At 43.0% G+C, this 13632-nt stretch overlaps 1 protein-coding gene across 5 annotated transcripts in view, besides 5 other annotated features; it reads left to right on the top strand.

Annotated features, from left to right (window-relative positions):
- Positions 1134 to 2333: an enhancer, noted in NCBI's record as "BRD4-independent group 4 enhancer chr2:198299380-198300579 (GRCh37/hg19 assembly coordinates)". NCBI's record gives its function as "activates an origin of replication core promoter dependent on BRD2, P300/CBP, MED14 and CDK7 cofactors, and independent of BRD4, by STARR-seq in HCT116 cells {active_cell/tissue: HCT116}" and the evidence as "EXISTENCE:reporter gene assay evidence [ECO:0000049][PMID:35650434]".
- Positions 1134 to 2624: a biological region, named in NCBI's record as "BRD4-independent group 4 enhancer GRCh37_chr2:198299380-198300579".
- Positions 1513 to 1562: an enhancer, noted in NCBI's record as "active region_16933". NCBI's record gives its function as "activates an Ori minimal core promoter by ATAC-STARR-seq in GM12878 lymphoblastoid cells {active_cell/tissue: GM12878}" and the evidence as "EXISTENCE:reporter gene assay evidence [ECO:0000049][PMID:35858748]".
- Positions 1583 to 1892: an enhancer, noted in NCBI's record as "active region_16932". NCBI's record gives its function as "activates an Ori minimal core promoter by ATAC-STARR-seq in GM12878 lymphoblastoid cells {active_cell/tissue: GM12878}" and the evidence as "EXISTENCE:reporter gene assay evidence [ECO:0000049][PMID:35858748]".
- Positions 1896 to 13632, top strand: part of SF3B1 (splicing factor 3b subunit 1) — a 45310-nt gene continuing 33573 nt past the window's right edge. For 4 of the 5 annotated variants that reach the window (XM_047443840.1, XM_047443841.1, NM_001005526.2 and 1 more), the window contains exons 1-2: positions 1896 to 2017; positions 13015 to 13181. In XM_047443840.1, the coding sequence (XP_047299796.1) occupies positions 1990 to 2017; positions 13015 to 13181 (195 nt within the window). In that variant the 5' untranslated portion in view covers positions 1896 to 1989. The remainder of the gene's footprint in view (positions 2018 to 13014; positions 13182 to 13632) is intronic. The other variant, NM_012433.4, reaches the window with a different exon arrangement.
- Positions 2078 to 2624: an enhancer, noted in NCBI's record as "NANOG-H3K27ac-H3K4me1 hESC enhancer chr2:198299089-198299635 (GRCh37/hg19 assembly coordinates)". NCBI's record gives its function as "activates a minimal SCP1, AML or CMV promoter by ChIP-STARR-seq in naive H9 embryonic stem cells {active_cell/tissue: H9 hESC(naive)}" and the evidence as "EXISTENCE:reporter gene assay evidence [ECO:0000049][PMID:30033119]".

The following is a 13632-nucleotide window of genomic DNA, read 5'->3' as shown; positions in this document are numbered from 1 at the left end:
ACATCTTTTTTTCTTTTTTTTTTTTGAGACGGAGTCTCGCTCTGTTGCCCAGGCTGGAGTGCAGTGGCACTATCTCCGCTCACTGCAAACTCCGCCTCCTGGGTTCAAGCGATTCTCTTGCCTCAGCCTCCTGAGTAGCTGGGATTATAGGCAGGTGCCACCATGCCCGGCTAATTTTTGTATTTTTAGTAGAGATGGGGTTTCACTGTGTTGGTCAGGCTAGTTTTGAACTCCTGACCTTGTGATCCGCCTGCCTCAGCCTCCCAAAGTGCTGGGATTACAGGCATGAGCCACCACGCCTGGCCAAAAATTTTAATTTATCAAATTTATTCCTTTACTGATGCTAATAAAAATCTGTGGTGGCTCACGCCTATAATCCCAGCACTTTAGGAGTCTGAGGCAGGAGGACTGCTTGAGGCCAAGAGTTTGAGACCAGCCTGGGGAATATAGTAAGATCTCATTCTACAAAAAATAAAAATTAGCTGGGTATGGTGGCCCATGTTGGTGGTACTAGCTACTCTGGAGACTGAGGCAGGAGAGTCTCTTGAACCTTAAGGTCGAAGTTAGGGTCAGCTGTGATCGCACCACTGCCCTCCAGCTTGGGCAACAAACCAAGACTGTGTGTCAAAAAAACAGAAAAAAAATCGTTTGTGTCACCTGATCTGAAGAAGGGAGGGAGTCTGGTGAGAGGGAAAGAGGGAGCAAGGCTGCAGGTCAGGAGTCACCAGGGACAGGTTATCTAAGCTCTCAGTCCAGTGCCATTGTCCATATATCTCCCACCTACCGCTAGCCTCAGGAAAATGGCTCCTCACTTTACCCAAAGTAGATATGGGGTCTTCCTGCAAGAGGAATACACCCATACCATTTCCCTCCCTTCAAACGACCATACTGACCCATGGTATGGTTAGTATTTGGGTTGCAGGTTTATCACATAGCGAGGTACTCCTCTCTTTGTGATGGCTCTAACCTTGATAACTACCTGTTTTCCTCGGCTGCTTCCGGGACCCATCTTTCTGAGCCTTTCTTTCTTTTTCATCGTCGAAGTCAAAGACCAGTGTGACAGTACAAGGTTATATTATAATTGATGCCCAGGAAAACAGACTGCCGTATTCTGATCTATTAAAATTCCTGATTTAGGAATACCGTCTAGGATTTAAGAGAAACATCTAATGAATGTTAATAATGACGATGAGTGGTTTTCTAGGAACCCATAAAGTAAAAGGCTTTAAAAGGGTGGCAAGATTGTCACTGTGCAACTCAGCAACGATTTGTGAGGCTCAACGAAATTCCTACCCAAATTATTTGCAATTATTAAACAGAAAGAATGAAAAATGACCTTGAATTACAGGGCGAAAGATGGGACTGTTAAGACTGTCTTCGTAACTAAGCACTGTAAAGACTGAGACAGCTGCAAGGGAAAGTTTTCCTCGAGCTCTTCCAGTGAATTTTGGGAAAAGGGATTGAATGTCTGAGGTCTCTTCCAGCTCTGAAACCGCAGCGTTTCGTACAGTGTTCATTTTTTTTTAATGGGAGGGGTCTCGGGGTCTTGCTCTGTCGCCCGGTCTGGAGGCTTGAGTACAGTGGCGCGACACGATTACGGCTCACGGCTGCCTCGAACTCCTGGGCTCAAGCGATGCTCCCGCCTCAGCCTCCAGAGTTGCTGGGACTCAGTGTCTGTTCTTAACTCCCTTCGTAGAATCCACTTTCCTCCAGGGCAAAGTTACTCACTTAAGGACCTTACGGCTCGGCTCGGGGATTTCCTGGGTCACCACGCAGGCGACTTCAGGGCCCAACCGTGTCTCCTCCCCCACCCACAATGCACCTCGCGGTTCCCTCTAGGTGGCAGTTCTGTCACGTGTCACCCGACGGAGCGCGCTCCCGTTTGGCGCACGCGCAGAGTGCAGCCCCCAGCTATTTTTCTCCGTGGCGGCGGCGACGAGCGGAAGTTCTTGGGAGCGCCAGTTCCGTCTGTGTGTTCGAGTGGACAAAATGGCGAAGATCGCCAAGACTCACGAAGGTAAGCGGTCTTTCCCTGCTTACGTGTTTTCTTCGTTGCTAGCCTAATAAAAGCCTTTTTTCCTAGGATTCTGCCTTTTTCTATGGTTTCTTTCGTAGGAGCTGAGCCCGCGTTTCGGGGCCAAGGGTCGTCTCCTCCGCGCCAGCGGCGCAGGCCACTGCCCCGCGTAATGGCGTCCTCCTCTTACACCCCCGACAGGCGCTTTGTTCAGTGTTTGGGACCTGCTACTTCAGAGTAGCTTCTCTTCTCTGACCAGAGGGCCTCGTTTAAGCGGCTTCCTCAGTAGGATTCGTGGGCAAGGGATCGGGGAAGCGGGCGTGGGGAGAAGGTCTCACTCGCCTCTCGACACTGTCGTCCCCATAGTTTGTGCAGAAGAGGGTCAGAAAAGCACTGAAATACGGCAGCCGCTTTTCCGGCAGACTGAATCGAATTTGGTTAAACCGAGATTCCGTTACTCCTACCCTTGTGTGTCTTCAAGCGTCAGTTACTTGTTTATTTTTCTTGCACGAAACGATTTGGGGATAAAATCTGGTAGTTGTTTTCCCTCCCTTAGTCACTTTTAGTATAATATTGATCTTTTTCTTTGGAGACTGGTTATTGGAGGAGCAGATGGAAGAGGAAAACATAAATTACTTTCATTAATGGCCGAAGCTTTCAAGCTAGTTGATCGTTTTATGGAATACAGAGTGTGCAAATTAGGAAAACGTTGGGAATAGACTGGAGTTCATTAGGAAGTATCCAGAGATGACAGAAAATGGGATCACTTTTCAGAAAAGACGAGGCATGAGAAGTTGGAACTGCATTCTTTGATTTCTGACTTGGAATCCGAGATTTTCACTGAGAACGAGACTTCTAAGTCACTTTTGTTTCATATGTTCTTTCTGGGTATTTGGCTCGGTATTAGTCTGTGAGAGGTAAGAGACTGAGGCCATCCAAAATTTTACAGTCTGATAGGAGAAACAGATGTGTATGTTCTCATTCTCTCATGAGGCCAGATGCATGCTTAAGTAGAAGAAAAAGCAGCATGTTCTGGGAACCTGGGTAACGGAATGATTATGTTTAGGGTTGTTTCACTGAGGAGGTTACATGACCGTGTTTTAAAAGGATCAGTCAGTTTTAAATCGGGAAGGACATCTGAGCCTGAGAACATCTTGTAACAAGGTATTGAATCGTGAAAGGTGTGTTTGAGTAGTAGTCCACTGTAGCAGGAACAGAGGGTGCAAGTAGAGAAGAAATAAATGAATCTGGAAAGGTTGGATTAGGACCAGAATGTGAATGGCTTTGAATAGTTGGGTCACCCAGAGGACCTGAAGTCCAGCTTTCTGCTATTTATCAAACATGCTAATGAATTGTCAATGACTTTAATATTAGTATACCATTTTAGGTATTTAGGATTTAAATGCTCTCTTAGTATTCCTAGGCTTTATTATTTTGTCTTTAGACTATCTCAAATATAACCTTTTGCAAAGTAAGTAGAAAATATAAAGTTGTGCTGTTTTTGTTCATTCAGGATGTTATTCATTTGGGGATATTGATAGTATAGCTTTGATACTTATTTATTGGTAACTTCAGTATAAGATGCCCTCAGACAGGAAAATCAGAATTCTGATCAGTTTTCCTGAATTTTTTAGAAACCCAGCTAAAAACTTTGGTCTATTGCTATTCATTGGCCAAACTTGTTATTTTTGAGATTATTCTATCAATGTGAATTAAGTGATACCATAAGAAAATAGCAGAACATTCAATACTTGAGCACTGTCTGTGCCCATCCCTATGGGATATGTCAGGGGATGATAAATGTTTAGTAGAAATACACATAATACTGACATAGCTTGTTGCTTCCTTCCTAATGGAACTCTAGTTCTTCATGGTCCATCACTGTTTTCTCTTGTTAAGCCATTTTTGATAAACTGAAGCAGAATTAATGCTTTTTGGGGCAGTGCTGCTATAGTACTCAGTATAAATGTTATATTGCTTAGAATAGTCTGTTGTGTTAAGATTTTCTCTTCTCCTTAGCTCCAAGATTGAGATAAACTGATAACTATTTATTTATTTTGCTGTCATATTCCTTTCAAACATTTCTTTTTTTATTTTTTATTTTTTTTTGAGATAGGGTCTTTTTCTGTTGCCCAGGCAGAAGTGCAGTGGTGCAATCTCGGCTCACAGCAACCTCCGCCTTTTAGGTTCAAGCGATTGTCCTGCTTCAGCCTCCTGAGTACTAGTATCGCAGGCATGTGCCACCACACCCGACTAATTTTTGTATTTTTAGAGACAGGGTTTCGCCATGTTGGCCAGGCTGGTCTCAAACTCCTGACCACAAGTGATCCTCCCACCTTGGCCTCCCAAAGTGCTGGGATTACTGGCATGAGCCACCATGCCTGAACCCTTTCAAACATTTCTATTAGGATCAGGCCTCACATCCTCTTTAACCAATCTGATTATATTTTACCCTGGCCAATGTGGCTTATGCTTTCCAGGATTGAAATATAAAAAGAACTGGAATTACTCAAATCAGATAAAATCTTTTAGATCTTTCCACGTATTATGTCAGGTGTATGGTTATGAATATGCATAATCTTGCCATCCAGCAGTTCTTCAGATACTGCTGACTTTGGCATACAAACAGGGAACACACATTATTCTCTGTTTTGTAAGGGGAAAATGGTTTAACCAAAAATCCTACATATCAGCTTGTTTTGCCACTAATCCTTTGAATTAGATTTTTTGGGACATCACAAAGCTGAAAAAGTTTTTTCCCTAATTCTTTGCTTGATAAATGGCTGGAATAGTTATAGTTTTGTTATTGTGTATCTTGCTGATCTATATATTTTTTCCTGTGTTTATTTTTGAGACCGGGTCTTGCCCTGTTGCCCAGGTTGGAGTGCAGTGGCGTGATCATAGCTCACTTAACCTACAACTGCTGGGCTCAAGTGATCCTCCCATTTCAGCCTCCTGAGTAGCTACAACTACAGGCGTGTGCTACCATGCCTGGCTAATTTTTACAATTTTTTTTTAGAGATGGGGTCTCGCTATGTTACCCAGGCTGATCTCGAACTCCTGGGCTCAAGCAGTCCTGCCTTGGCCTCCCACCGTGCTAGGATTACAGGTGTGAGCCACGATGCCTGGCCTTGAAATTTTTTTTAATAGAATTAATCATTTAGGAATCAATTTATCAGTATTGTTTGTAGTGTTCAGTAAAATGATTTATATTATAGTTAGTTGTCCTATTGGAGTTTTGTTTAATGAAAAAGCTGAGGGTTGGGATTCAGAATATACTTCCTGTTTTTCTGTGATGTCTTTTAGAAGCCTTGTATTTTGGAAATAGTTGTTCACCGGTTATATCTGGCTGAAGGAGAGTAGATATCACTTAGGGACCAGACTGAAAGGTGTAGGTGAGACATTAACATCTGAGGGCAGTATCTGTGTAACATGTAATGAGCAGTGATTAGAACACTGAAAATAATTCAGACGAAAAATGAAAAATAAAAATCAAGGAGGAAGAAGTGCTACAAGTTGGGTTTAGCAGGATCTAAGGCTTAGAAAGAAGAAAAGGGCTGGGCATGGTGTCTCACACCTATAATCCCAGCACTTTGGGAGGCTGAGGTGGGCAGATCACCCAAGGTTAGGAGTTCCAGACCAGCCTGGCCAACGTGGTGAAACCCCCTCTCTACTAAAAGTACAAAAAAATTAACCGGGCATGGTGGCGTGAGCCTGTGATCCCAGCTCCTCGGGAGGCTGTTGCAGGAGAATCGCTTGAACCCAGGAGGCGAAGGTTGCAGTGAGCTGAGATCACGCCACGCCACTGCACTCCAGCCTGGGCGACTGAGTGAAACTCTGTCTCAAAAAAAAAAAAAAAAAAAAAAAAAAGAAGAAAAGGCACAGGAGGGGAAATCAGAGGGACAGAATTGGTGGGGAGCAGTTAAATAGTTTTATCAGATGTGACCTTCTGCTATCAGTGATATGAATTGTTTTTCTCAAGAGCTTGATATGTAGGTCTGAGTTTTAAAATACAGGAGGCCAGGGGTTGCTCACGCATGTAATCCCAGCATTTTGGGAAGTCAAGACAGGAGGATTGCTTGAGACTGCAAACATACAGAAAAGTAGAGAGCGGCTGGCGCTATACTCCAGCCTGGGCAACAGAGCAGGACTCTGTCTCAGAAAAACAAAACAACAGGCCGGGCACAGTGTGTGAAGACAGGTTTTAATAACACTAGGGTAGGCTGGGCACGGTGGCTTACGCCTGTAATCCCAGCACTTTGGGAGGCTGATGTGGATGGATCACCAGAGGTCAGGAGTTTGAGACCAGCTTGATCAACATGGTGAAACCCTATCTCTACTAAAAATAAAAAAATTAGCTGGGTTTGGTGGTGCGTGCCTGTAATCCCACCTGCTTGGGAGCCTCAGGCAGGAGAATCTCTTGAACCAGGAGGTGGAGGTTGCAGTGAGCCGAGATCGTGCCACTGCACTTCAGTTTGGGCAACAGAGTGAGACTTTGTCTCAAAACAAAATAACAAAAAAAACTACCGTGAGTAGTAAAATGAACCCCTCATATACTCATCACCTAGCTTCAACAGTTACAAGCTTAGGCCAGCTTTGTTTAATTTGTACACTGGTCACTTCTACTCTTCCCATTATTTTGAAGCAGATCTTAGACATACCACTTTATCCATAAATATTTCAGTATGTATTTCTGTGTAGGGACTTAAAAAGATAATACCATGATTACACCTAAAATTAAAATAATAAAATATCTAGTCACTGTTCTGTTTTACCCATTCTTTTAAACTTTGTTTTTCAGTTTCAGTCAGGCTTCCAAGAAAACTGATAACATTTTGATTGGTTGGTTTCTCTTATATCTTTTTCATTTCACAGTACATTGTGATTTAATGATTTATCTCTTAAATCTTTTTCAGTTCATAGGTTCCTCCTGTCTCTTTCTTTTTCCTTGCACTTCATTTGTTGCAGAACCTTTGTCCTGTGGTTTCGCACAGTCTGGAGGAATTGGGGAAAGTGGCTGTCTAAACTGGTTCCCTCCTTCCCATTACTGCTGCAATCAAGATGTTAGGGGGCCTACAAGCAATGGAAGCACCCAGAAAATTATTGGCTCTAAGTATGAGCATAGTTCTGAAATCATACTTCAGGTTTAGATTGTGCTAGTCATGGGAAGGAAATTTTTTTTTTTTTTTTTGAGACAGAGTCTTGCTCTGTTGTCCAGGCTGGAGTGCAGTCGCACAATGTCGGCTCACTGCAAGCTCCGCCTCCCGGGTTCAAGCGATACTTCTGCCTCAGCCTCCCGAGTAGCTGGGACTACAGACGCGCGCCATCACACCCAGCTAATTTTTGTATTTTTAGTAGAGATGGGGTTTCACCACATTGGCCAGACTGGTCTCGAACTCCTGACCTCAGGTGATCCATCCACATCGGCCTCCCAAAGTGCTGGGATTACAGGCGTGAGCCACCGTGCCGGCCTGCCTTAGTGTTATTAAAACCTGTCTTGACACAAAAACCTCTAAACAAATGTTTACAGTAGCCTTACTTGTAATCACTGCAAACAGCTCGATGTACTTCAGCTAGAGAATGGATAAACACACTGTAGTACAATGGAATACTACCCAGTAATAAAAAGGCAGAAACTATTGATGTGCACAACAGTGTGGAAATTGGAATATTTAAGGGTTTAAATGGGTTAAAGAGTGCCAGCTTTTGGCAGTTTTGTGTGGCCAATAGGAAGTCCTAGTCTCTTCTTGCTCAGTCACTAGCAGACAGTATCCCTTTTTTCTTTGTCTTCACATCTGAATGTATTGAACTATGAGTCCAAACTGGGAAGGGATTAGGCTGGAACAGGATTTGTTCATTTTGGTCATAATTGAAGTTGGAAGAGATTATTAGCATAGACGTTTCTTTGCCTCAAGTCTTCATTGTTTTTGACCTCTGGTTACTCATTTTGGTATGTTCTCTCATTTTTTATTTTCATAGTTGCCAACCCCCGCCTTTTTTTTTTGAGATGGAGTTTCACTGTGTCGTCCGGGCTGGAGTGCAGTGGCGTGATCTTGGCTCACTGCAACCTCTGCCTCCCAGACTCAAGCGATTCTCTTGTTGCCCAGGCCAGAGTGCAGTGCTGTGATCTCGGCTCACTGCAACCTCCACCTCCCAGGTTCAAGCGATTCTCATGCCTCAGCCTTCCAAGTAGCTGGGATTACAGGCGTGCCACCACCATGTCTGGCTAATTTTTGTATTTTTAGTGAAGACAGGGTTTCACCATGTTGGCCAGGCCGGCTTTGAACTCCTGATCTCAAGTGATTCAACTGTCTTGACTTCCCAAAGTGCTGGGATTACAGGCGTGAGCCACCGCGCTCAGCCAGTTGCCAAGCAGTTTTATGCATTGATCATTTGTTGTCAGAAATGATCTATTTGCATATTTTTAGTCAGTTTATATTTAAGAAATTATAGGAATACTTACACACCAGGCTGTAACTTAGTGTTGGTTTTGAAAATACGGAGTTAGAGACAACATTGTTATTCCCAGAGATAAAAAATTTGAAGTGGAATTTTACAAACCTTGGCTGGCATGGATAGGGGAGAGAAAAATTTGGAAAATTACTTTTAATTACTTCTACAGATTACCTATTTATTTATTTACTTACTTATTTAGAGGCAAGGCCTGGCTCTAACACCCAGGCTAGAGTGCAGTGGTGTGATCTCAGCTCACTGCAACCTCCGCCTCCTGGGCTCAAGCCATCCTCTGACCTCAGCCTCCTGAGTATCTGGGACTACAGGTGTGCACCTGTAGTGACTAATTTTTGTATTTTTGTCTAATTTTTGTAGAGACAGGGTTTCATCATGTTGCTTAGGCTGGCCTTGAACTTGTGAACTCAAGTGATCTGCCTGCCTGGGCATCCCAAAGTGCCCAGCCTCATTACCTTTTAATTAATTAATTAATTAATTAATTAATTTGAGACGGAGTCTTGCTCTGTCGCCTAGGTTGGAGTGCAGTGGTGCGATCTCGGCTCACTGCATCCTCTGCCTCTTGGGTTCAAGCAATTCTCTGACTCAGCCTCCTGAGTAGCTGGGATTCCAGGCACCCACCACCACACCTGGCTAATTTTTATATTTTTAGTAGAGATGGGGTTTCACCATCTTGGCCAGGCTGATCCTGAACTCCTGACCTCGTGATCCACCCGCCTCGGCCTCCCAAAGTGCTGGGATTACAGGCGTGAGCCACCATGCCCGGCCCAGATTACCTTTTATGAAATATTTTAACATGCAGAAGAGAATAGGACAAAATATAATGAACACTAACCCACTGCTCAGCTTTATCAGTTCTTCATTTTCTGCCGTATTTTTTCCCACCTTTTTATTTATTTTGAAAACGAAACCTCAGACACAAAGTTACCTTATTTATGAATGTCATGGTAATAATTTGTTTGCTCATAAATATTTGGGTATGTTATATTTGGTATTTTAGCACATAGTTTATTAAGAAATTTCTGAGTTTTTAGTTCTCTGAATTGCATAATAAGCTGCTGAGTTTTATGGAATCTGACGGCTTAATTTTATGGATCACATGGTGTATGTGTAAATGTGCTGCAGTTTGCAGTGTGTTAACAAAGCCCATTAAGCTGTTTGGACTTTATATCTATAGTTTCCAGCAGACAGAAAACAATGCCTGATTTGCATATAAACATTTAATTGTACTGCCTATAAGAAGTTCAGTAATATACTCACCTTAGGATTAATTAACTACAAACAGCTGCCTAGCCCCAGGAGATTTTGGGCTGGGTAATTTTGTTACTAAATTTTAATAAGAACCTAGTCATGATTTACATAGATTTCATACCAACACTATTTCAGTACTTTATGAACCTTTGTAATTGGAAAACTCTGATGCTAATCAGCAGGTACATAAAATCAATAGTTAAAATTCAGTAGCTGAAATTAGTTCCAGAATAAGTGTTATCCAAATGAGAAACTAGTTGCTGAAACTTCAGGATGGAAAAGTTGTTTAGATGGAAAATAAGAGAGATGCCTGATAAGGGGGAAAAAGCAAGTTGCACAATATGTGTAGTGTGCAGTTTTTATAAAACAGCACCCCTTTCCTGTTTTTTAGTTGTGTATGAGGTAGAGAAAAGTATAAAATGATGCTCTAAATTGGAAAATTTGGTAGGGGTGGGCTGGGGTTGGAAATGGGAGGGGTGAAGGGCCAGGTAAAATAGTTTCCTAGGGTGTTTGTTAATGATGCAGAATCCTGGGCTTCACAGCCTGAGTTGGAGTTTCAGAGTTAGTGTATCCAAGACCTAAGGTTCTACCTTTGTAACAGGTGCACCAGGTCATTTCTTTGTAGGTGGTCCTTATACTAGACTAATGCTGTAGAGGAGATTGCAGACTATTTCTCCTGATTCATCCATTTGTTTCTTACCTAAATCCTCATGGAAGTAGCATTTGTGGTCCTTTTACAAAAACCTATTTAGGTAAAAGTGATAAATGCACCTGTGGTTTAAAAAAAAAGCCTGAAGCTGGGCGTGGTGGTGGGCATCTATAATCCCAACTATTTGGGAGGCTGAGGCAGGAGAATGGCTTGAACCTGGGAGGCGGAGGTTGCAGTGAGCCGAGATCCAGCCACTGCACTCCAGCCTGGGCAACAAGAGCAAAACTCCGCCTCAAAAAAAGAAAAGAAAAGAAGATGCCCGAAGGGGGTGGGAGTGGGGCAAATGTAGATTAAATTTTTCAAAATATGAAACTACAAACAGAAACAAAAGTAGAGATCATAGTAAAAAGAACCACCCTGCTCATGTGAGGATATTTCTGGCTGCCTGGGCTGCTATAATGGTTTGGGGACAAAGTAACATCTGTGCATGTAGTGGTGCTGTGTAACACAACACACTATAATAATTTTGAGATCCGATCACAACTGGGGCTGCTAAACTCAGCATTAAAACTATTCTATCATTTTGAGTTTCTTTCTTTCTGTTTGTTTCTGAGACAGTCTCTCTCTCATCCAGGCTGGAGTGCAGTGGCAGCAATCGTGGCTTACTGCAGCCTTGACCTCCTGGGCTCAAACAGTCCTCCCACCTGAGCCCCCTAAGTGGCAGGGGACTATAGGTTTGCCACCATACCTGGCTAATTTTAGTATTTTTTGTAGAGATAGGGTTTTGCCATGTCGCCCAGGCTGGTTTTGAACTCCTGGGCTCAAGTGATCCGCCCACCTCAGCCTTCCAAAGTGTTTGGATGACATGCGTGAGCTACCGCGTCTGCCTCCAGTTTGTGAGACGTGCTCCTGTTCCTTTCTTATGTGGAAATGTGACCCAGCCGTGCCTTAGACTAGATAAGGACATTTTGTTATCCTGCACATCTATCTTGAGGAACTATAGAGGGCTTTCTCCCTTAGCTGGGGGGGTGGGAGGTTTTGCAAATACAGGATGCTATTTGAATCTTTATCTTTTGATTCATGCAGCTAGCAATTGAGCTTTTTTATTTTTTATTTGATTTATTTATCTATTTATTTTTTGAGACGGAGTTTCGCTCTTGTCGCCCAGGCTGGAGTGCAATGGCGTGATCTCGACTTACTGCAACCTCCACCTTCCGGGTTCATGTGATTCTCCTGCCTCAGCCTCCCGAGTAGCTGGGATTACAGGCGCCTGCCACCATGCCCGGCTAATTTTTGTATTTTTAGTAGAGACGGGGTTTTAGCACATTGGCCAGGCTGGTCTTGAACTCCTGACCTCAGGTGATCTGCCCACCTCGGCCTCCCGAAGTGCTGGGATTGCAGGTGTGAGCCACTGCGCCCGGCCTAATTTTTATTCATTTATTTATTTATTTGAGATGAGTTTTGCTCTTTGCCCAGGCTAAAGTGCAGTGGCACGTGATCTCGGCTCACTGCAGCCTTGGCCTCCCGGGTTCAAGCAGTTCTGCCTCAGCCTCCTGAGTAGCTGGGACTAGAGGCGTGCGCCATTACACCTGGCTAACTTTGTATTTTTACTGGAGAGGAGGTTTCACCATCTTGGCTAGGCTGGTCTCGAATGCCTGACTTCAGGTGATCCGCCCGCCTTGGCCTCCCAAAGTGCTGGGATTATAGGCGTGGACCACCGCGCCCGGCCAGCAAGTAAGCTTTTTAAAAGTGCCTGGTGTCAAAGGGCTTAATTCAGCATGGGCTGGCAAGAATTTAAACAGCTATTTGTCAGGCCATGGAAATCTTTTGCAATCGAAACTATTTCTTTATACATCTATGTATTATTTAGATTATTAAAACAAAACATTACTTTGCAAAATTAACCTGGTGTCAGGAAAGACTACAAAATGGAAGACTAGTCTGTATTTAAAGAAGAGCAAAGAGTGACAACTAAATGCAGTGTATGGTGCTTGATTGGATCATGGGTTAAAAAAGAATCTATAGAAGCTGTTACTAGGGCAACTGGGGACATTTTAAGCTAGGTTATATGTTTGTTAGATGATATTTTGTCACGGTTTTTTTTTTTTTTTTTGAGAGATAGAGTCTTGCTCTGTCACCCAGGTTGGAGTGCAGTGGTGTGATCTGCAACCTCCGCCTCCCGGGTTAAAGTGATTCTCCTGCCTCAACTTCCCAAATACCTGGGACTACAGGTGCATGCCCCCACGCCCAGCTACTTTTTGTATTTTTTAGTAGAGACGGGGTTTCGCTATATGTTGGCCAGGTTGGTCTCGAACTCCTGACCTCAAGTGATCGCCCACCTCCTCCTCCCAAAGTGTTGGGATTATAGGCGTGAGCCACAGCACCCAGATCTGCCCACCTCATCCTCCCAAAGTGTTGGGATTGTAGGCGTGAGCCACATGCCCAGCCTATCATGGTTTAATTTCTAGAGCTTGCTTACGCTGTTGTGATTACTAGTCTCTTATATGGTGCAATTATTGTACATTTTCTGTATTTAAGAGAGTATTTTGATAATTACCTAGTAAAGAAATGCATTGTGTTGGGAGTTCTTTTGGAAAGTGAAATTAAGAAAGTCTGTGTTATCTTTTTATAGATATTGAAGCACAGATTCGAGAAATTCAAGGCAAGAAGGCAGCTCTTGATGAAGCTCAAGGAGTGGGCCTCGATTCTACAGGTTATTATGACCAGGAAATTTATGGTGGAAGTGACAGCAGATTTGCTGGATACGTGACATCAATTGCTGCAACTGAACTTGAAGATGTAAGTTACAAATTATGTACAAGAGGCAGTTATTTTTTTGAGAGAGCAAGAAATATGAATAACTTTTGTTGCAGCCATCTGGTTTAATCTGGAGAAACATTTTTGGGATCTTTTAGAGGATAAAACTACTGGAGGTATCCTCTCTAAGGTTCAGAAACTTCACTGGAAATGCTTTGTTCTGAGAATTTATGGTAAAGACTAGTTTGTTTATCCAGTGAAGCACCTGCCAGCCATTACCTTTATAAAGTTAAGAGTAAAGTAAATCCCTACCATTACTTATCAGCTCTATCTAGAGTAGCCTGTGTGAGAAGTGACTTAATTGTAAATAGCCATCTGTCCTTGTGATTTGATTACTGACTTGTACTTGATACTGTTTTTCTCCTCTTGGTATCTTAATGTGAATGGATTTTCTTTTCTTATCTTTTTTTTTTTTTTTTTGAGACAGTCTCAC

Source organism: Homo sapiens, chromosome 2 (assembly GCF_000001405.40).
Source record: "Homo sapiens chromosome 2, GRCh38.p14 Primary Assembly".
Taxonomy (NCBI): Eukaryota; Metazoa; Chordata; class Mammalia; order Primates; family Hominidae; genus Homo; species Homo sapiens.
This window is presented reverse-complemented; position numbering and strand designations above follow the sequence as displayed.